The sequence below is a fragment of the Homo sapiens genome, chromosome 14 (assembly GCF_000001405.40).
Source record: "Homo sapiens chromosome 14, GRCh38.p14 Primary Assembly".
In the NCBI taxonomy this organism is placed as follows: Eukaryota; Metazoa; Chordata; class Mammalia; order Primates; family Hominidae; genus Homo; species Homo sapiens.
The window spans coordinates 97,443,506-97,466,099 of NC_000014.9; the positions used below are offsets into that span (position 1 = coordinate 97,443,506).

At 41.5% G+C, this 22,594-nt stretch overlaps 1 long non-coding RNA gene across 2 annotated transcripts in view; it reads left to right on the forward strand.

The window, feature by feature from the left end:
- Window positions 1-15,310: 15,310 nt before the first annotated feature.
- Window positions 15,311-22,594, forward strand: part of LINC02325 (long intergenic non-protein coding RNA 2325) — a 122,568-nt gene continuing 115,284 nt past the window's right edge. Inside the window, exons 1-3 of one of the 2 annotated variants that reach the window (NR_110165.1) lie at window positions 15,311-15,422; window positions 18,299-18,827; window positions 20,127-20,654. This is a non-coding gene — a long non-coding RNA (long intergenic non-protein coding RNA 2325). Of the gene's footprint in view, window positions 15,423-18,298; window positions 18,828-20,126; window positions 20,655-22,594 lie in introns of those variants that run through there. The other variant, NR_110166.1, reaches the window with a different exon arrangement.

Below are 22,594 nucleotides of genomic sequence, written 5' to 3' on the forward strand. Positions count from 1 at the left end.
TAAGGCTCAAGAATAACCCTCTTTGACTTCATAATCTATGGACCACCTGGTCCCTCCCTAGCAGCTTCTGTGGTGGTTTCTCGTCATCTCCCACCATTGTCCCAGCAAATAAATACTATGACCCAACAACTCACCATGTGCCAGAAACATTTCCTGTATGTCAGTCAACTCATTACATTCTCACCAGGGCCCTAAGAAAGAAGCCCAGTGATCAATTCCATTTGACCAAGGAAGAAAGTAAGACATAGAGAGGTCAAGTTCTTCGGCCAGGGCCACGTAGCTTATTAATGGAGTTGCTGGGACTTGAACCCAGCCAGTCTGACCCCAGGGCCTTTTCTTATACCGAGACCTTGGCATTCCAGGTGAGGCTCCTGCTCACCAGTGTTAGACAATCTCTGACCTGTTGTGTCAGCTCCAAGTGTTTACTGGTGTAAATGTTTCTTCTCCTCATCCCCAGAAGGAGTTAAATGAGACAGAAGTCCTCCTCGTAATCCTCTCGGTGCTCCTGTAGCTGGGACAATGTGTGATGCACAGAACACTTATAAGTGTCTGTTAGTGATGAGTGAATTGGGGGAGGCTGTGGTCCTTCCCTGAAAAGGTGAACCAATTAAAACTCAAAATCACCTTAGCAAGATACCAAAGAGCAGAATTTCAGTGGTCCCAGCCCCTCTGGAAGCCCCTGGAAGCTTATTTTCATTCTGAATAGACCTCCTTTGCTTTGCCTCACAGAGAGTGCTTCCATTCAACCAGTAATTAGTGTCTCTAAGTGGAATCTACTTAAGAAAGGACACAAAGCCTGAGAAAGTTGTATTATGCCATTTATAAATGTCCGGTGATCTGCTGCTGCACTGTGATTCACGGAGCTGAAATAAATGATTTGCTTCAAAAAAAAATTATGAACGTTCATTCCGCTGGTAGAATCTCTTAATTCCCGTTACACATGTCAGCATATTATGACTGGAAGCTGTCAGGTTCTAATGACTAAAATTTCATTTTTCAGACTTCTCACACTGTGTGTGAGGACTATAAGTTAGAAATATCTCTGCAGCTAAGTTTCTTCCTCATCTGGTAAATTTAGCTCTTTCTTTCTTTTCTATTTATTTTTTAAGTGTCCATGTTTACATGAATACCTTGAGTAAACTAATCTCATGCTTCATTCAATAAACGAGGAGGTCTACTACTATGGTGCTTTTCTTCCCAAAGCTGCTGTCCTTTTTATGGGACATAATGTGTCTTGACAGCTGACAGATTCAATGCAAAATTATTTTTACTTGGCAGAGTGGATCAAAATATGGATTATTTTAAAGAACATTAGCACTTTTTTGTTTAAAGTAAAATATATTGTTTATGCTTTGTATGGATAAACAACCTTGACATTGGCTGTAACTTGTTTTATTATCCTTGAAATGGAAATTTGTTGACACGATATTCAATAAATAGAAATACTTCGGTCCTGTTCACTTAACTCGCATACTATACTAAATAGGAATTATTGATCCTCCAGTTATTACACTTGTTCCTGAAATGCTCTGTGGAGGGCAGGAAAACCAACTTCCAATTCAGGTTGTTAATAGATTGGTCGCAAAATTTATGTTATCCATGTCCAACAAATCACTAATAAAAGCTTATAAGAGGCTAGATCATCTGCATTGAATTACTCATTCTTCCCCCCATAAAAAGCCTTTAGCTAGAGACTGACCAAAGAATTTAAAATCTCTCATTATCTATAAGTCATTGCTCAAAGTGTCCCTAAATGGGATTAAAGCATCGCTGCTCAGATTTCCTACAATGACTGCCCTCTTCTACTTCCACCTTGACTTAAATTAAAGGCTAATGATATGTTTCCAGAGGAAAGAAAGAGATAGCTTTTCCTTGAACGACTTTCCAGGACTCCAGCATCTAATCTGTTACGGAATAGCTGCTATGCCATGGTGGCCGACTGCATCTGTTTTTCTGGGAATATGGTCCAGGTCTAAGTGGGTCTGGTGACCACGTTGTCATCTCCATACAGCTGGTCAACTCAGTGCAGGAGGAAACGGGACGTAAGCACCGTGCACCATCCAGGGGCTGTTCTCTACCTTTGTTTACTGCCACTGCAAGGATGTGTGCTTCAGGTGCTGCTTTGAATACTCAGGGGCAGTCAATGCAAATGTTCCCTCCACTCAGTCTCCTTCCCTCCCACCCTCCTTTCTTTTTCTTTTTTTCTTTCTTTCTATCCATAAGCATTTATGGAGCACCAACCATGCACCAAACTCAGTACCAGGCACTGGGACCCCCAGACGGATCGGGCTTCCTGGTGCTCAAGCAGGTCTTGGTCTCCTGGGGGCTCAGACCAGCCCATGTACTCAGACATTTGTGTGGCATGACAGTGTGGGTGGTGGCAGGATGCCCAGTGGGAAAGGCCCAGGCCAGGCATGCTGCTGGCCTGCCTAGTGACTCCTGTCTTTACCCATAAGCACCTGGAGCCTGCTGAGGATTAACTGTGAATGAGTGACCATCACACTGTAGGCCCTCAATAACGGATCAGTGTTATTATAAGGCTGTCCTAGAGGTGCGTACCAGGGGCTATGACTTCTTTACATGAGGCAGCCAGGAAAATTTCACAGATGAATGAGAAAGCCAATCAGAAGCAGGAGAAAACTGGGCTATAGAAGACCCTGGTTTGACTATATTTCATGGGGATAGAATGAATTGAAATGAAGTGAAATAGAAATAAAAACAAAACCATTTGAGTAGGAGTGAGAAAGCAGTTGCAAATACCCCTAGTGTCGAGGCAGGTATTGCACGTGAACATTGCAGACAGGCCACGAGGGGAAGCGATGCAACCTCAAAGGCTAGAAGGTTCTTACCCATGGTTGCCAGATTTGATTCCTTCAAAAGAAGCCCCACATCTGGCTTAGGATGCCAGATCTCCAAATGTTTAAGGGAAGAAATCTATTTAAAACCTTTTAAAGACACCATGCATGATACACCAAATGTATCTTCAGGTCACATAAAGATTGTGGCCAAGCTAATGTCTGCCTCTTGTCTGGACATACCGATTTTATTCTTTCATTCAAAAACGACTTGCTGGTACTTATCATAACAAGTCAGTAGAAACAGTATTAGTATTCATACCAAAGAAGGCGGTATTTGAATCTGAGCTCCAGTACCTAATTAGCTGTCTGACTTTGGGTCTGTTACTCAGCCTCAACTATAAAATGATGGTTTTCATACCTGCCTTACATGTTGTTAAGAAGATTCAACCAGCTGATGCGGGTGAAATTCCTGATACAGGGCCTGGTGCACTGTGTATACTTCACAGAGTTTTTCCTTCAACTTAAGGGGTAAAAGAACAAGTTGGAACGAGCCAAGGAGTGACCAGGTGTGTCAGAGGCAGCAACAGGTTGGATCAGGGAACAAGTGCAGAAGGAGTGAACCCAGGCTTGACCAAGGAAGGCTTTTTGGGCTTCTCCTTCTCAGCAAGGGTGTGAAATGAAGTCTAGCCAGTTTGGAAAGAATAGCTCCAGATGCTCTTCAGGGTCAGGAGTGATTTTGATCCGTGGTGACCCATTCAGGTGGAGCAGATAGACTCATTTATTCACATGCACAAGCCTGGTGTTTCAGATCCTGATCTGACAGAAAGGCCAGTCTCGTAGGAGATGCCTGTGAGGCCAACAGGGGCAGTTTGGTGTTAGCATCTTGAGCCAGGATGCCCAGAGTGACCCTTTCCCTTAGTTAGGGTGACTTAGTCAAAGAAGACAGACATCTGGTCTGTGTGAGGTTAGGTTTTAAAAACAAGTTCCATGTATGTCTTGTTTACAAAACAAATTGTGCCCATCATTGTAGAAAATCCGGGAAATGCAGACAAATGTAGAGAAGAACACAAAAATCACAACTAGCTACATCCTTGGCATTTCCATGTTGATCCTGCCAATCCTTTTACTTTGCCTTTCTAGGTCAGTTACATTGAGTGGGCCCTTTTTCTGGCCTGGGTAAGCATGATGTGGCTTTCAGAAGAAGCACCAGTCTGCAATCCAAAGAGGAAATGGAAAATCTTTCTAAATGCTTGGCTTCTGTCTCCCCAAGGCTCCTCTCCCCACTCCCGACACCAGGCCTCTCCTGTCTCCCTCTCTCTCCCACCCCTGCCCTTTCTCCTTCCCACCTCCCCAAACTGGATTAGAAACCCAGGTCCTTTGAACTGTGCTCATTTTCATCCTATTCTCTTCAGTCACTCTCTGTTAGGGTGGCCAGATCAAATCTAGGATGATCAGTTAAATTTGAATCTCAGACACATCATGAAAAACTTTTTGTATAAGTTTATCCCATTGAACACTTGAGATATACTAAAACATATTCATTGTTTATCTGAAATTCAAGTTGGACTGGGTATCCTGTATTTTTATTTGCTAAAACTGCCTGGCTACCTCACACGGAAATCAAACAAGCCCACCTTGACTTACTTTTGCCCCAATCTTTACAATGAGGTCGAGGAATAAAGAAATTGAGCCATGAAAGTCAAACTGCCCCTTGGAAGGCTTGGTTGGACTGGGATAGAAAGGGAGCACACTATTTATTTGTTCATATATATATATATATATATATATATATATATAATGTGTATATTCCCACATATTTCTTTCATGAAAGTTGGTTGTATGTGTGTATGTGCACATACACACACACACACACACATATATATATATATGCATCATTATTTTTTCAGTAATCAGCATATTATATACCATTAAATATCTGGGGGAACAATCATTTTCTAAAAACCACCTAAGCTGTAATTAATATGGAAATAAACTTACTCTAATTATTAGACATTTTCACTATTTTCATTTATTTAAATTATACATATTGCTGCAGTAAACATTCCTGTAACTTTTTCTTCTGTTTTTGAGACAGAGTCTTGCTCTGTTGCCCAGGCTGGACTGCAGTGGTGCAATCTTGGCTCACTGCAACCTCCACTTCTAGGGTTCAAGTGATTCTCTTGCCTCAGCCTCCCAAGTAGCTGGGATTATAGGCACCTGTCACCAAGCACAGCTAATTTTTTTGTATTTTTAGTAGAGATGGGGTTTCACCATGTTGGGCAGGCTGTTTTCGAACTCCTTACCTCAAGCGATTCACCCACCTCGGCCTCCCATAGTGCTAGGATTACAGGTGTGAGCCACCGCGCCTGGCCATGTAACTATATTTTTATCTAAACATTTGATTTTTTTTGTAGCTACCTTCATAGGAATAAAATTACTGAGAAAAATTGGATAAATATTTTAAGCTTCTTGAACATACTACCTCTGGAGGGTTACTTGTGCTTCTTGCATCAGTGAATATTTCTACTGATCACTGCAAGATGCCAGCATGCAAGCTCAAAGGGAGGATCCCCTTCCTCATGGAGTAGAGTCCAGTAAACCTCCCAACACTGGTGAACAAAGGCTCCCGTCTCACCATCCCTCTCCAAAGTAACCAAGAACAAAATACCAACTCCTTATTGTTTTAACTTTCTGGTTTGTATCACTGTGACCTTACACAGTAGAAGGGTGAGGGATCTCACTTTGATGTAAAACATTTCGAAGTCTAAGATTACTCACATTTTTTTCTTTTATAAATAATCTGTTCACCCTACTACCATCTCCATAATTTTGTAAAATATTTTTTCAAATGCTAATGAATCAATGAATGGATTTGATTTATTTAGCCTTTTATATAGGCTTTTTTTTTTTTTTTTTGCAATGGATTCTCACTCTGTCGCCCAGGCTGGACTGCAGTGGTGCAATCTTGGCTCACTGCAACCTCTGTCTACTGGGTTCAAGTGATTCTCCTGCCTCACCCTCCCAAGTAGCTGGGATTACAGGCATATGCCACCATGCCTGTCTAATTTTTGTATTTTTAGTAGAGATGCGGTTTCACCAAGTTGGCCAGGCTAGTTTTGAACTCCTGACCTCAGGTAATCCGCCCACCTCAGCCTCCCAAAATGCTGGGATTACAGGTGAAAGTCACTGCAACTGGCCTTTATATGCTTTTTACTTCAAGTTGTATATTTATGCATTCTGCCCATTTTTTTTGAGATATTCATGTGTGGGTTTAATTTGTTGGATATTTTTGTGTCTAAAGGCTATTAATGTTCCTCCTGATATTTGTAGCAAACATTCTTTTGTTTTTTTGCATTGCATTTTAAATTTTGTTGATGATGGCATTCAACAGAGAAAGTTTTAAACTTTTATCTGGCCAGGTGTACTGACCAATTTTGTGAAGGGTTTTTTCTTAGTCCGTTTGGGCTGCTACAACGAAACGTCATAAACTTACAAACAAAATTAATTCATTTCTTACAATTTTGGAGGCTGAGAAGTCCAAGATCAAGACTCAGACAGATTTGGTGTCTTGAAGAGCTCTCTTCCTGGTTCACAGAAGGCCACCTCACTGTAACCTTACATGGTAGAAAGGTGAGAGATCTCTCTAGTATCTCTTTTAAAAGGACACGAATCTCATTCATGACGGTGGAGTCTTCAGGGCCCAGTCACTTTCTAAGGGCCCAACTTCCTAATACCATCACTTTGAGAGTGAGGATATCAACATGTGAATTTTGCAAGGGCATAAACATTCAGATCATAGCAGGTTATACCACGTGTTTTACATTTAGGGAGTCTTTTTACTGGCCCAGAATTTATTTCAGTATTCATCCACGTTTTCCACAAGTCCTACTATTTATTTATTTTAACTTTAATTTAAATATCACCTACCTTAGGTAGAAGTTTTCCTTTGTGTAATATAATATAAAACCGACATTTCTTGGGGGCATAATAGTAAAGATGTTAACATTTTTTGGTTCTTTTTGGATGCTGTATTTGTGCTTCTTCTGAAAGTGATGTGTGCCAAGATGGCTCATGTAACCCAGTTTTGACTAGGCTATTGATATTCTGTCTGGTTAATTTATTGAACTGGCTTAAAGCTATACATATTTTCTTTTAGTTAACTATGTAAGATATTCTAGATATATTGTCTACTGATTCATAATATCACTGGTAATGGATGATTAATGAGTACTCTTCTTCTTTGTATAACTTGAATTTATTTTTTCCTGTCTTATAAAATATCTGGAATGTACAAAACAATGCCAAGGATGAATGGTTGGGGCTGGAGCCCTTGTCCTTGTCCTAACTTGAATGGGAATGTATCTGGAATACAAGCATTGCATATTATACAGACTTTTGTTTAAACGCTTCAAAATATATATATTTTAAGAAATGGATGTTGAATTTATAAAATTTATTTTGGCTTCTACGAAGATGGAATCATTTATATAGTTTATTTCAACGTTGACATCTTAATGTGATGTGATGAATTAATCGATTGCTAATATTACGCCTTCCTTATATTCTTAATAAAATACCTGGGATTCTCTTAATGTGTATGTGAATTCAGTTAGCTAGTATTTGATTTAGGATAATGCCTGTGTTCTCATGAGTAATTTAGATACCTGGTTTTCTTTTTTGTCCCATCCATTGCTAGCTTTTGATATGGGTGTAAAGTGTCTTTATAATATGAATGAAAGATTTTTACATTATTATGTGTGCTCTGGATTAAATCATAAGTAATAATAATTGTCTATTATTCGAAGTTATATAGAACTAGCAAAATTACTTGGCCTAGGAGTCTTTTGGGGATATAATTATGTTAAAGATTTTTTTCCATATTTTCCCCATGGCTATAGGTTTACAAAAGTTTTCTAATTCTTCTTGGACAAATTTTTATTATTTCAACTTTCCGGAATTTTCCAATTCTGGAACCAAAGAACAGAATCTATGCAACAAAAAATTAAACAGTAAATAGAAAACTATCTATCTCATTAGATTTTCTTTACATATGTCTTTATGTAGGACTGCACATCTGTATTTCTAATTTATAAACTTATATTGTATCTAATTTCCCACATCCAATATGCATATTTATTTGTGACATTATTAATTTGGATTTAATAGTGGTTTATTTGTTGTGTTGTACATTTCTAAATACCAGCTCTTACATTTATTTATTAACACTATTTTCTCAGTCTATAATTAATTTATATATGATTTAACTGCATTTATTTTTTAGTTTCCCTTGTCATTAGATTTATTTTGCTCTTCTTGAGATGGTTTGTTTGTAAGCTATATATTTTTTTAATGTGATATTTTAATTTTTCAATTGTAGTTTTTCTTACTGTACTTACTGAACCGATTTGGACTTAATTCTTATGTTTAGTATTTAGTAGTTGTGATCTACACTTATTACTATTTGTCCTGAACCATGCTTTCTCTCTTCTTGAATTGTTTATTTTGATTAATTACTGAGTCATTTCAAGTATATCTGCAATCCCATTTTTTAACATGAGTATAGTGGTAGTATACTTTTTTTTATTTTTGCATAGCTGAGTGTCTTTCTTTTTCCTTTACAAATCATCCCTTTGGTGTAAAATTATTGAGTAATTTTCTTCTCAAAACTCGTTAGACTGTATTTCACTTTACTCTTGATATGAACAATTTTGAAGTCTGAGATTACCCACATTTTTTTCTTTTGTAAATAATCTGTTCATCCTACTGCCATTCTCACAATTTTTAAAAATAGTTTTTCCCCAGAGATTCAAAATTCTTTTCAGACAGGAGTTTCTTTAGAAAATGGTTGTTTGGAATAATTTGAGCCCTTCTGAGGAACGAACTCAGATATTTTCAGCTCTGAATTCTTCTCGATATATTTGATTAACCAGTTACTCTGTTGGCCCTGGTCATGTCCTCTGAAATGTCAGCTCTCTTCACACACTGCCTCTTTACTGTGTCTTCCATATCTTCATCTTCTCTCACATAAGTTGTATCTCTGTGTCTTCTTTCTCTAAATTAAGCATCAGGAAACATTTTCTGTGAAAGGTTAAATAAAAAATATTTTCAGCTTTCTGGGGCATAAGTCTCTGGTGCAATTACTCAGCTCAGCCTTTGAAATACAAAAGCAACACATAAACAAATGAGTATAGCTGTGTTCCAATAAAACTTTATTTACAAAAACCAGTGGTGGGACAGATTAAGCTTATAGACTGTAGTTTTCTGATTTTGCTCTAAATACCTGGAAGCCTTCTTGTTTGCTTTCTATTTACTGATTTAATTTTCTGCTGTATAGATTCTGTTCTTTGGTTCTCTAGACCAGTACCATGTGAAGATTGAGTGTGCAGGCTTAGGCTGCTTGAGCTTAAATCTCACCTGTTCCATTTAGTAGTTTTTTTGAGTTGGCCAAGATATTTAACTGCTCTGTGTGTCCCAGTCTCCTTATCAAAAAGCCAATGTGGAGACGTGTTTGAAGATTTGACTGAGCTAATAGATGTAAACTGCATAGAACAATGTCTGAGACTGTGTTAGCTCCCGGTAAGTATGAGCTATTATTGATTCTTTCATAATTTCTTTCAGATCCCTTCCTAAATTTCAGGCTTCATTTGAACCTGCTACGTTAAAAATAGTTTATTTCTTATTATGCCTCTTTTTTTATGTATTTTATTATATTTTAGAAAGAACACAAAGCAAATACCTCATAAAATGTTTTCCGTTTTTGACAACAAATCCCTTTCTCTGGTATGCTCTTCATCTATGTGTTTACAATGCTGGTTCCCATTTTTATACTTGCTTTGGGCATGGTTTGCTTTTATTTATGTTTATTATTATTTAAATAAGGATTGAGTTTCTCCTCACTATTATTTTTACTATTTTCAAAATAATCTTCTTGGATTTTAATCCAGAGGCCACATTGAAATGTAAAGTGTGTTGACAAATTTCAGGTATAATGCAGGTAAATGATCCTGTCAGACTCTGGCCTCAATTCAGTTTTCCTGGATAAAATTTTGCCCTGGGATTATTTGAGAAATCTATGACTCTTCTTATTTGAATTACATGCTGTCAAATTCATTGCTCCCAGTGCTTGTCTTGGAGTTTTCTTGAGTTTGTGCTTTCCTTATGTCTTAGTATGCAGAGTCCTCTTAGCTTTGATTCTTACTCCTCTTCATTATTTGGCAATGAGGAGTTTTAGCCTTCTAAATGGCTGCAGAAGAGGAAGGTATCAACGAGCAGACGTGAAACTGGGGGTAGTTCTGCAGGTTACAAAAGTACCCAAGGCCCGGTGCAGTGGCTCATGCCTGTAATCCCAGCACTTTAGGAGACTGAGGGGGGCGGATCCCTTGAGCACAGGAGTTTGAGACCATCCCGGGCAATGTGGCAAAACCCTACCTCTACAAAAAATACAAAAATTATCTGTGCATAGTGGCACCTGCCTGTAGTCCCAGCTACTTGGGAGGCTGAGGTGGGAAGGTGGGAGGATCACTTGAGCCTGATAGGTGGAGGTTGCAGTGAGCCAAGATGGTGCCACTCAACTCAAGCCTGGGTGACAGAGTGAGAACCTGTCTCCAAAATAAATAAATAAATAAATAAATAAAGGTACTCAAAAGGGTAGACATTATCACCAGGACTTATAATCAGTGGTTCAGCCACCAAGGTGCTAAAGGGATCTGCAGATTGCATAGCTGGAAATTTTCTCCTGTCTTCTTCTGCTAGTCAAGTTGTTTTTCTTCAGAATTCACCCATGAGTCACTGACAATCTTTTCTTGGTCACCTCTAAAATAGAGAGCGGGCACTTTATCTTTGAGATGGCTTTGTTTCCAGTGGCCATAATTGCTTTGGTATTTCGGTGTTTATGTGTGTTTCAACAGCACAGAGGGGCAAGCTAACTCAGGCAGAACTCCATGGCCTCCAGCAAATTCCCAGTATGTGATTCTTGGTAAGACAAAAATTGAATGGAAAGAACATGTGCTTTGGAATCAAGCACATTTAGCAGGTTATGAGGCTGATTCTGTCAGTTCACTGCATGACTTTGAGGAAATCATCCACCTCTTTAAACTTGATTCATCTTCAGTATAAAAGTTGGGATCACAGTGTCTACACTCGTGCTGTTGTAAATATTTAATACAATATAATAGTAAAGGTCCAAGCAGAGATGCTCATTAAATATTGTCAGTATTGATCCTTTTGCCATATGCTGGTATCTACAGAGAGAGGAAACTTTTGTTTCTTTTTTTTTTTAAGTCTATAGAAGTTTGTTGTGTAGACAAAGATTATTTATAATATGAAAGACTCATTTGTCCATCTGTAAGCATTAATATGAGCAAAAATACATTAGACTAAACCCTATAGAGTTAGTGGTATTTGATATTTTTACCACTAGCAATGGTAATGCCATATGGTTCAAATAAACGTAAGCAATTCATATTTATCTGTGTGTTTCTAGAATTGTTTTATTGAATGAATAAAATGGCATAATTCACTTAAAAAATCCAGAGCATGTGGTTACGCTAAACCTTAGGTTGCCATATAAGTAGCATGTGTGAGAATTTCTTTGAATGTAATGAGACCTAGAATGAATGTGTAATTCCTCTGAAATGAAGCTTCAGGAATATTTTTGGGAGTCTGTGGCTGAATGGACAAAACATAGCCTGTGGTTGAATTCAGACTCCACTACATATGTGGATGAATGGCACTGGGCACGTTCCTTACCCTCACTGAGCCTCCGAGTCCTCATTCATTCAATAAATGCTGCCACTTAGGCCTGCTTTAGGGATTGAGAGAAAATATTTCAAGGTCTAGTTCAGTGTCTGATCTGTAGCAGGGGCTTAGTAAAGGGCTATGACGCTACAGCACATTTTCTTGGTCATTGTAATGGCAGAGACTTTGTAGAGAAAGAGGAGCAGGTATTTTGGTGTCTTTAGAAACCACCCATAAGGTGAGAAAAAAAAATTGGTTCCTGGCACAAGAGAATTGAAAGAGTTCTTTCTAGGCCTCCCAGTGATAGATGAGGCCACGGCATTGTGAAAACTGTCCACTCTAAAGGGTAGGGTTGAGGTGTGAGGTAGACAACTTGTAAGGTGATTTCCAAGATCTCTGCCTCCTGGTATTCACATCCTTGTGTGAGCACCTCTCTTGAACGTGGGCTGGACCTAGTGACCCACTTCTAGTTAACAGGATATGTGAAAAGGGAAGGGATATCATTTCTGAGATTAGTTTATAAAAGATATGACTTCTGTCCTGAGTGCAACCTGTCTCCTGTTGTTTCCTTGCTTGCTTACAAGGATGAATCCTCCTGTCCTGTTGGGACCTGCCCTATGGAGAGGGCCATAGGACAAGCAAATGGGGATGATTCCCAGCTGGTGAAGAACTGAGACCTTTAGTCCAGCAGTCCTTGTGGAGCTGATTCCTGCCAGCAACCACGTGAGTGTGCTCAGAAGCAGATTCTGTTCCCAGTTAAGCCTTAGATGCCTGCAGCCCTTGATAACACCTTGGCTACCTTCTGCGGGAGACCCTGAAACAGAAGACTCAGTTAAGCTGTGCCCAAATATTCCTGACCTATGAAGCTGTGGGGCAATACATACTAGTTGCTTTCATTCAGCCACTATGCTTAGGGAGAATTTATGTGGCAACAAATGACATGAGGTATGTGTGGAAACAGAAACAATCCTTTTGTGTTGCTGTGGAGGTACAAGGTACCTGCTGTAGAGGCAGTCAGGATACAGCGTGGCTCTGAGACCTTCTTTCCTGGCAAACAGCTGGTGGAAGTCGAGAAAAGGGATCTCGCTGGGGTGGATGTTCCTGCGGCCTGGACATCAAGATCTGTCATGTAACATAAATCAGAGAAGATCAATGCTGCAGTTGTAGGGAGCTTTGCAGCACCATTTCCACCATGATGGACCTCAAACTTCTCTTCTATGGGATACATGGTTAGAAAACCACAGCTATGGAGGAGGAAGAGGGCAATAGAACCGTTTCTTGGAAGTGATGCCTCTCAAAGCCTAATTCTCTCAAGTCAAGCTAAGTCCCCATTCCTTCTGGTTTGTCTCCACCTTTCTCCTCTGCAGAGCAGGCTGCACAGGCATGGTCCCCCCCACATGCAGACATACCTCATTCCTCAGGTCTGCCCTGTTACCAGTTTTGTCGTGCATCTCGTGCTAAACTTACTTCTCAAATGGAAAGCTGCCTCAAGGGCAGGGTGGCACGGTGGAGAGGGCAGGGGCTCTGCATCTGACCTGTCTGACATCTGATCTTGGCCCTACTGGTTACTTGCTGGGCAGTCTTGGCGAATTTGTTTAATCTTTTTGAACTCTGGACTCATCAGCAAGAAAAAGGGAATGATAATATGTACTTTACAGGGCGGTTCTGAAAATTAAGCCAGACAAAGTGCTTGGGACGAGAGCCTGGGACGTTCTGACAGCAGTGTGGTTGTGGCTCGTGTCTGTGTTATTTTTCTGATTGTCTCCATGCAGGGTCACAGTAGGATTCACATGGGGTCACTTAGGCTCTGCCCTGGCCGGCAAACACTGCACTCATAGGTCCCCTCCTCAGAGCTCTCCAGCCCCAGGACAGATTGGGGGTGATATCAGGCAGGAGGACTGTGCTGGGATGTGACCCACTGGGAGGCCTCCATGTGGGACAGAGCCAGAGGCAGCACCTGGGCCGTGACACCAGTGCCTGGGGACGTGGTTTGCCTGGGAGCCAGGTGGAGCTGATCCTCCTTCTGGTGGGTGCTCTGTGCCTGAGGCATAGCTGGGCTGCAGGGGGTGGAGGACTCCTCATTCTGTCACTGCCACTCACAGGGCCTGGAGAGCTGTGTCTGTTTCTGGAACCTCTGAATCACAGCCTCCTTGGGTTCTTCTGAAGGCACATTGCACCTTCTAGAAGGGTATGACTCAGAAGGAAAGAGAGAAAAACCTCTACTGGCAAGAGGAAATGGCTGCAGTGTTTACTTTATCTGAAAATGGCACACGCTTTTATTAAGACATAAATGCCAGTGATGGATTCTGCTCTTGGCGTGTGGCTGTGCTCCCCAGCCCTGAGGTGAGATGGTCAGGAGATGTGAGACCCTACAGAGAAAATATTTACCATGCTGAGCTGTCATGAGACAGAGTAAGTGGGCAGAGGGCAGCTGGTTCCTTTGACCACCTCATTCTAGGGAAAATAAACAGGGACCCTGGAGCAGTCACTAACAGAGGGGAGCAAGTATCCTCTCTCTGCAGTAGAATCTCTGAAAATTCGGATAACGTTAATTGTGCCACTGTGGTGGCAGTGCAAGAAATTCCTGTTCATCCCGCTGCAATGATGATTAAGGTAACAAACACCCAGTCGGGAAGTCAGGCTCCGGCCCTGGAGAATAGTTGAGGATCGCCTGTAGCATATTGTTCCACTCTGCTGGCATCCTAACTAGACAGCTTTAGTTTTAGCATAAAATCCATATTCCAGACCTTTATGGAGCAGAGAGGCAAACTCCAATGCTGCCGTTGCAAGCATCAAACAGCATTAGAATGAATTAAGGAGATTTAAGACTCTCGATGCTGTCGGGGCTCTTCTCCATCCCCTCTGTTTTCTCCAAGGAGCTGTTTTAAAGGCGTGGGGGGCAAATTGGAAGAAGGGAGTGGGAAAAACGCAAACCAATCACGCTAACCTCGCTCCGGAATCGAAGTCTGACTCTGTACCACGCATGGATTTAATTGGGAGAGAGGTCTTTTAGAGACACTCTGGGTGGGTGCATAGATCAGTCTGGAGTTTCACAGTACGGCTTCTTCCAAGGTCAGAGCATGTGTCCAGGGTCTTCCCCGCTTCCTGGTGGACGGGAAGGCGTCTTCGGTCCGGTGGTTGACAAAAAATCCAAAGAGGGCGTCAGATGTGTGCACTCTGGTGTTTGGAATTTAAGTAAAATCTGTAATTTTCCTCCTGCATTTCCTCAGAGAAATTAGCTATTCTATTCACTGCATAAATTTTCAGGTTTTGCTAGCACGACACTCAGGGTGTTGAATTTTTTATGACAAAAATGCTGTAATAATTGTTGAACAGATGTAAGTGTTGGAGACTCGGCTCTGGCAGACCTCACGAAACCTCGATTAGCAATTTAACCCTGTCCTCCCTCCTGTCCGCACGCCGGGGAAGAGGAGTTGCAGTTTTGAATGGCTTCACTGGGATATGCACAAAGGCAGAGAAAGAGTTTTCTGGAGAGCAGGGGAAGTCCTTTAACGAGCTCTTATGCCCAGCCAGAAAAGGAAGAACTCGGTGCAGCCTAACCCTGAAATTACCACATTACCAAGTTGTCTAGCTGGGTGATTAATAAACTAATTGACACGGGGGACACTTGTCACTGGCGAAGCAGCTCCCTAGCCAAAGCGAGGAGCAACTACATAGCGTCTCCCGGGGAGCTGGGAAGTGACAGTCTACACCCGCTTCCGGGCTCCCCGTGACATAGGCCAGCCGGGCCTCCATTTACACCTCAAAGCAAAGTCACAGAGGGATCCGCCCCTTTCCTGGCTGCCTACACAGAAAGCAGCCATGGGAGACTTGCCGAGGACTTTGTCCACCAAGTGATGAAAGCATGCAAATGCCTCCGAATCAAAGGTAAATCAAAAGAAAATGGCAGCCCGCAAGAGGAGGCGGCGGTGACAGCCCGTCAGCCGTACAGCCACCCGACAGGCCTGGTGGCAGCGTGGAGGCTGCCAAGAGAACCGCCTGAGGAGGCTGCCGCCAAGACAGATGTCACGGCGAGGAGGGCGCGCTTCCGTCGCTTTCGGCGGGGCCTCATGGAGCAGGAAGTGGTACTACATGTGCCACTTAAGAGAATAATAATACTAATAAAACTGGGCGTTGTGAAGGGGGAGAGGTGGGGGAGAAAGGCTGGTTAGAGAGAGAGAGAGAAGAGGGGAAAGGCATGTCACAGTGTTTGGTAAAGGAGGAACTGAATTGATGGCCATCCTGAAGTTTGTGTGTGTGCGCACATGTGCGTCCTTTAGCAGGCTGGCTTTCCCTAGGCGCTTACAGCATCTTGAGAGGCATTGTGCTGGTGGAGACGTGGGGTTCTGGTGACAGCTGTGTCTTTGCAAGAGAGGAGAGGTGACCACAAGGCCACAGAGGTCCTCTAGTTTTTATAGCCCTCTTTTCTGCCTTTCCTGGAAATTGACTTTTGGTTTCCTGCCAAGATTGGGTTGCCCATTATACAAAAAAGCAGACTCCTGCTTGGGGCATTGCAGAGTTGCAGAGATGGAGGGAGACAGAGGCAGGTGAGGAAAGCCTCAATGTCTGATTTTCTCTGTGTCTGCCTCTGTGTTATTTGCGGATGGGTCGTGAGCCCCAGCCCAGCAGCCCACGATATTCGGACCTTAAGTACTGAAAATAACCTACTCCCCTTTTCATGGGTATTTTAAATTAAAATTAATATATAACAGGCCAGGTTTAGTGGTTCACGCCTGTAGTTTTCAGCACTTTGGGAGGCTGAGACAGGAGGATCGCTTGAGCCCAGGAGTCTGAGACCCACATGAGCAACGTGACAAGACCCCATCTTTACAAAAATAAGAAATAAAAAAAATTAGCTAGGCATGTTGGCATGTGCCTGTGGCCCCAGCTACTTTGGAGGTTGAGGTGGGGAAGATCACTCGAACCTAGGAGGTTGAGGCTGCAGTGAGCAGTGATGGCACCACTGCACTCTAGCCTGAATGACAGGGCGAGACCCTGACTCAAAAGAAAAACGTGAGTGTGTATGTGTATAATAATAATTACATATATATATATAGCCATTACAGCAAGAATGTCCAACATAACAGCTCTTATGTGTTTTTTGTATGTCAAGTTTTTCTAAAAATTGCTGACTTTGAGGTGAGACTTCTGTTTTACCTGTGCTCTGAGCAGGTGTTTGGGCTGCATGTTGGGAAATCCAATCCCAGAAATTGTGTAAAAAATAAACTATGTTTTTTTAAATTCTAAGATGATTAACTTTTGTCTAGGAAGTGATTGCAGATAGGTTCTTAGCCATAAATGTATAAAATTGTCATAAACCACAACATATTGATTTGATCATAAGAAATTCACTTTTCTAAATGTCCCCCCTCCTCTAAAAAGCATTTGGGAGTAATGCAGTCAATATAACAAAGAGTCTAAAGATATAATGTCCAAGTGCCTTGGAGGTGAAAGACCTTACACTTTATCTTATTCTTACCATTCCTACCCCAGCTGCATTTTATAAGCAGGAGAGTTGCTGGCTTTATAGTGTAGGAACAGTTTTAGTGCCTCTACCATTATCCCATTTTTGCAAATACTTCCAGAGGAAGTAATTCTGAGATTGCTGAAAATTCTCATAGGTGTAACTATGTGATAAGTCCTTCAGGGCAGAGAGAAGATGGGTAGAATTAGCCCAGCCTGGTGAAGTGTGAACAGGATGCCCATGGGTGAGAATCTGTCCTGGGTCCAAATAAAGCCTACACAGTTGGATGTGTGACCCTTAGCATCTCCGAGGCTGAATGATAACCCTCCCTACAGCAGCATGGCCAGTGTTAAAATGTACAGAAAGCTCACATTGCAGCAGGTGATGTCGGAAGGGCTTCATCAATATGTGCTGTACTGAGCATCATAAAGCAATCAGGCGCTGGTAACTGAAATCCTGGGATGGGCTCTATTTATAATTTATTGTACACTTAGTTTAAGTGTAATTATATATATATATATATATATATATATATATATATATATGGTTTTTTGTTTGTTTGTTTGTTTGGTTTTTTTACAAAGTTTTGCTCTTGTCACACAGGCTGGAATTCAGTGGCATGATTTCTCCTCACTGTAACCTCTGCCTCACGGGTTCAAGCAATTCTCCTGCCTCAGCCTCCCGAGTAGCTGGGATTATAGGGACCTGCCACCATGCTCAGCTAATTTTTGTATTTTTAGTAGCGATGGGGTTTCACCATGTTGGCCAGGCTAGTATTGAACTCCTGACCTCAGGTGATCCACCCACTTTGGCCTTTCAAAGTGCTGGGATTATAGGCACGAGCCACTGTGCCCGGCCGATATATTTCAAAGTCTAAATAAAATGCAATGGGAGACTGACATTCACTTTTAATACCATTTCACTAAAAGTTACCATTTAAGGGGATCATCCCTGTGGTGGTTCAACCCAGATGTTCCAGATGTTTCTTCCTTTTTCATCCATGATCTGCTGGTTCTCTTCACAGTAGCACTTTTGTTTTATTTTTAATATACTGTACATTAGTCTATCACTGGATAAGCATTTTTTTCTTGCAGCAAGTTCCTTATTCCTAAGAGCAAAATGTCCTCAATCTTTAAGTCAGAATTTAAGCACTTTCCTCTTCAAATATCTGTAAAAAAGATTGTCTTCTTCCAATTCTCTCTGTTCAAATTCATGACGTTCACTTTTAGGTTACCATTATTTTATTTAATGTAGCTGAAACATTTCAATCTGATTCCATATTAATATTTCCCTTTTTCAGATGAGGAAAACAAAAGCTCAGAAACTATCTTGGAGTCAGCAAGTAAGAAGGAGCTTAGAAAGGCTTAACATTTTCCATGCTTCTGCCTGGCTTCAGAGCCCATGCACTCTGCCTTACCACGGCAGGTGAAAGATGGCCCCAAATTCTTAGGTACATCTCCTGCCAAAAGACCCCTCCTATGGGTTCTGTGACTACTTCAATGAAAAGAATAGGGCAGAAGAGATGATGAGAACTTAACATCTGGCAGTGTCCATTTCCTGTCTTTTGAAACTTTCTGTTAAAGGCCTGAGCCACGTATGAAGTGTGAATCTTCACACCATGCAAGAGAAGCCACATGTTATTGCTCTGGTCAACAATCCCAGCTGACCCAACCAGATAGTGTATCAGGCATATGAGTAAAGCATTCTTAGATTCTTCAGTCCAGCCCTTCACCAGCAGAACACCATTCAGCAACCCTTGTCGGCATCATGTGGGACAGAAGAACCACCCAGCTGAGCCTTATCCAAATTCCTGACCACAAAATCATAAGGTATGATTGCTGTTTTAAGCCAAAAGTTTTGAGATAGTTTGTTAAGCAGAAATAGCTATTGATCAATTATCATGTATAATTGATTATAATTACAAAATGCCAGGACCCTGTTGGAATTGTCTGCTTCATGCTTTACTTTGTCTGAGTAGCTTTTGAACATCTCTGCAAAATCACAACCACAGCTCTTTACATTGTATTGATCTATACCTAGACTCTTTATCCATATCCTTTGTTTTGCTGCCAACAATTCTTGAGTGGACTGGAAAGAATTCACTGTCTCTGGCTCTTTGGTTGCAAGAGTAACTTTCAGGCTTCTGGTTTTAACAACATGGCAGACTGAACCAATAAGCATCACCTTCTTCATACAAATACACAAAAATACTGGAGAAGTATAAATTTTAAAATGAACACATAAACTCAAAGAAAGGGAATGCTTAGGTACTCGAAATGAAAGTTCAGTTTGCTGATACCATACTGTCCTTCAGAGCTATTGATTATAGGCCTTTGGGTCTGAAATTTCTTGCCTACAGAAAGACAGGAGATGCGGCTTTGAATCTGTATATGGTGGGAACCAGAACTGAATCCCCAGCATGAGACATGCACATTTAAAAGACCTGATAGACTAAGAGAAGCAGCGAGAAAGCTTTCTTGTGGCTTGGTTTCTGGGTAGGAAAAAAATGCCTCTCATGAGAAATCAGTTACAAGCTCATACAATGCACGCAGGGAGGGTCCAAGTTTACATTGCCCTTGTGATGTAAGAATTGAAGTCAAAAACACTAGACACAGGTCTAGCGTCCCTGCAGAAAGAAATGCAAAATTTTATTTTTAGTAACACATTCACAAACTTGGGCCACATGGAATTCTGATAGGTTTAAAGACAGAGCAAAACTAAACCAAAGCTCTTTGGAAGACAAACTCAATAGAAAATCATGAAATTGCACTAGGAAAGAAGATACTGAATAGGGAGTTAGACACAGCAAGCTGAAGAATGGGCATCTCAAGAAATAGAACTAATAGAATACTTTGAAAGGGACGGCAACATAAGTATATTTATATATGTAGAAGGATTTAAGCAGAAGGGTTAGAAAAAATAGGACAAAAAGAATTAAAAAGTAGAAGATGAATTTTCAGGTTGATCCAAGGTAAAAAATAGATCCCTGTATTAAAAAGTCCCTGCATACCATTAGTACTTCTGAATACAATGATTGAAATCTTGTGATTGCTCCAGGCTGGAATTTTATTCTACAGTCCTGTAAGGTACAGATCATTGGGTAAATGGAGAAAATTTTCTCCCCAAAGAGAGAATGACTTCTTTCATATCGCTGAATGGAGCAACATGTTTGGCCAAGTTCCTGTCCCAGGGAGGAGAACCTTCAGCTTGCAACAAGTCCTGGCCGTTGGAGAAACCATGAGACTAGACCTTGTGTAAAGCAGCTGATTCTGCCATGGGGGAAATGCCCTTTTGTTTACTGAGCTTCTCCCACCCATGCCTTGCTCCACTTTCCTCTAGAAGCCTGAGATATTGGGAATAAGAGTCTCAGCCTCCAAGAGATGGAGAACATATCAAGAGAGTCTGGATTTCTGGGGTGATTAAGTTCACTTGATTCATTAGCCTAAGTGCTCAAGTAAATTTCAAATCACAGTGTTATGTGTGATTGTCCACGTCCTTCCTCCAAACACTCCCCACCTCCCACCCAAGGGCCCATGTAACTTGCTATTGAGAACCTTTGATTTCTTAGGTATTTGGGTGATAGGGTTTTGTTGCCTCTCCTGAAGAAAATAGTGGCAATTTGTACTCAGCTGTGGAATAAAGGAAATCATGACATATCTTCATAGTGGATTTCCTATTTGATGGTTCCAGCCTATTTTCAATATCCACAACCTGCTGCACCCTAGGAAAATTGACTTCCTCCACTGCCACCCCATTCCCCAACCCCAGAGCTAGAATCTAGGTGAAACAGTGAGGCAGGGAAGCCTTCAGGAGGGAATGGGGCAGGGTGGGGGCTTGTCTCAGGTCACCATTCTCAATGTTGGCTGCACACCAACTTTCAACATCCCAAAGCCCAGGCCTCACTCAGACCAATGAAATGAGAATCCCTGAGGGTAGAAAAGGGCTTGGGATGCAATAAAAAATACGGAGTAATACAGAATGTGGGTCATACTTACAGTAAAAGATTATTTGTTGTTTATCTGAAAATCAAATGTAACTGGGTCAACCTATATTTTTATTTGCTAAATCTGGCAACACCAACCCATGCAATACTGCTGTTCAAAGCTCCCCCAGAGATAGCAACATGCAGTCGGTGATTTTCAAACTTCAATGTGTTTAAGAATCACCCCAATTGATCATTAAATACCAATTCCTGGGCCTACCTCTAAGAATTCTCATTCTGTTCTTCTAGGGTGGGGCCCAGAATGATCAATTCTAACCAGTTCCTGGGTGTTTCTCGGGCTGCTGGGACTCCGTCCACACTGCAAGTAGCAGGAGTGTGTTCCAGCAGATCTGGGCATTGAACTCAAGTCTTCCAACTCCTCCATCCTTCCCACTATGCAGAGATTGCATGGATTTTTGTGTGGGTCCTTTGGCTATAGCGTGAATCTGTTTTCCTAGGTTCTCCTGTTGGTTCTCATCTCAGATCTCTTGCTTGAGGAGTTAGTTCCCGGGATCTAATTGTATCTTATTAGTAATAAGTTCAAGTCAGATGCTAAAGCTAAAAAACCCCCTCCCCACACCACCACCATGATTGATTCTATTTAGGATCTATTATTTGCTCTGGCTATGATAAGCTGTCTGGGGGAATAAAGGAAACCTACGGCACTATCTCCACTCTTAAAGGAATTTGTTGCGTCTAAGACAAGAAAATTACATTTAGAGAGAGAGAGAGAAAAGGCAATGTGTATTCTTCTTTCACATTGGGAGTTATTTCCTGAAGAAATTAAAGAGATTCGGCAAAAAGAGAGACATTGGAGTCCAGATCAGAAGGAAGAGGACTGGAAAGAGGAGGGAAGAGAACAATTCTCCCAGAACCTTCTAAAAAATTACTTTTGTTTCCAGCAGTTTTACCTTTGTTCAGCAACTTATCAACAGTGTGATCTTGGAAATGTCACCTTAACTCCATAGCCTCAGTTTCCTCTTACGTGAAATAGTCATGCTGACACTAACTTTATAAGTTGGTGAAGGATTAGAGGTAATGGTTCTAAAGTGGTGGTTACAGTACCTGATGCTTGCAAGTTCCCAAACTCAGCTGCCCATGTGAGCTGGGTGGGCAATGTTGGTGAGCAGGTACATGATCAGGCCCGCTCCAACCCTTGGTCATTGCCACTGTGTTAGAAAACAGCCCTGGAAGCCTCATATTCCAGTTTTCTGAGACAAAATGAATTGTATTTTTGTGGCATCTTCCAGTTTTTAGATGCGTGCTCATTAGTTTCAGAAGCGTTCATTGTCTATGGCTGCTTTAGTGCTTTACAGTAGCAGAAGTGAGTACTTGCAACAGAGACCATAAGGCTGCATAGCCTAAAGTGTTTACTCTCTGGCCCTTGGTGGAAGAAATTCGCCAACTCCTGGACTAAAGATGCAAAGCAGAACTTCTGGTGGAGGGAGTGGCCCCTCTGTTGATGGTTCCATCTGTTCCACTCACTGTTCTGTGCCTTCTCATCTCCTCCCTCCACTCTGTGTCTTCTTCTCCCTCCATGTCTTTCACTCAGTCATGGTTTCTGCTTCCTCATAGCTTCTGTTTGCAGAAGGCCTTCGGTGGACAGCCTCAAAG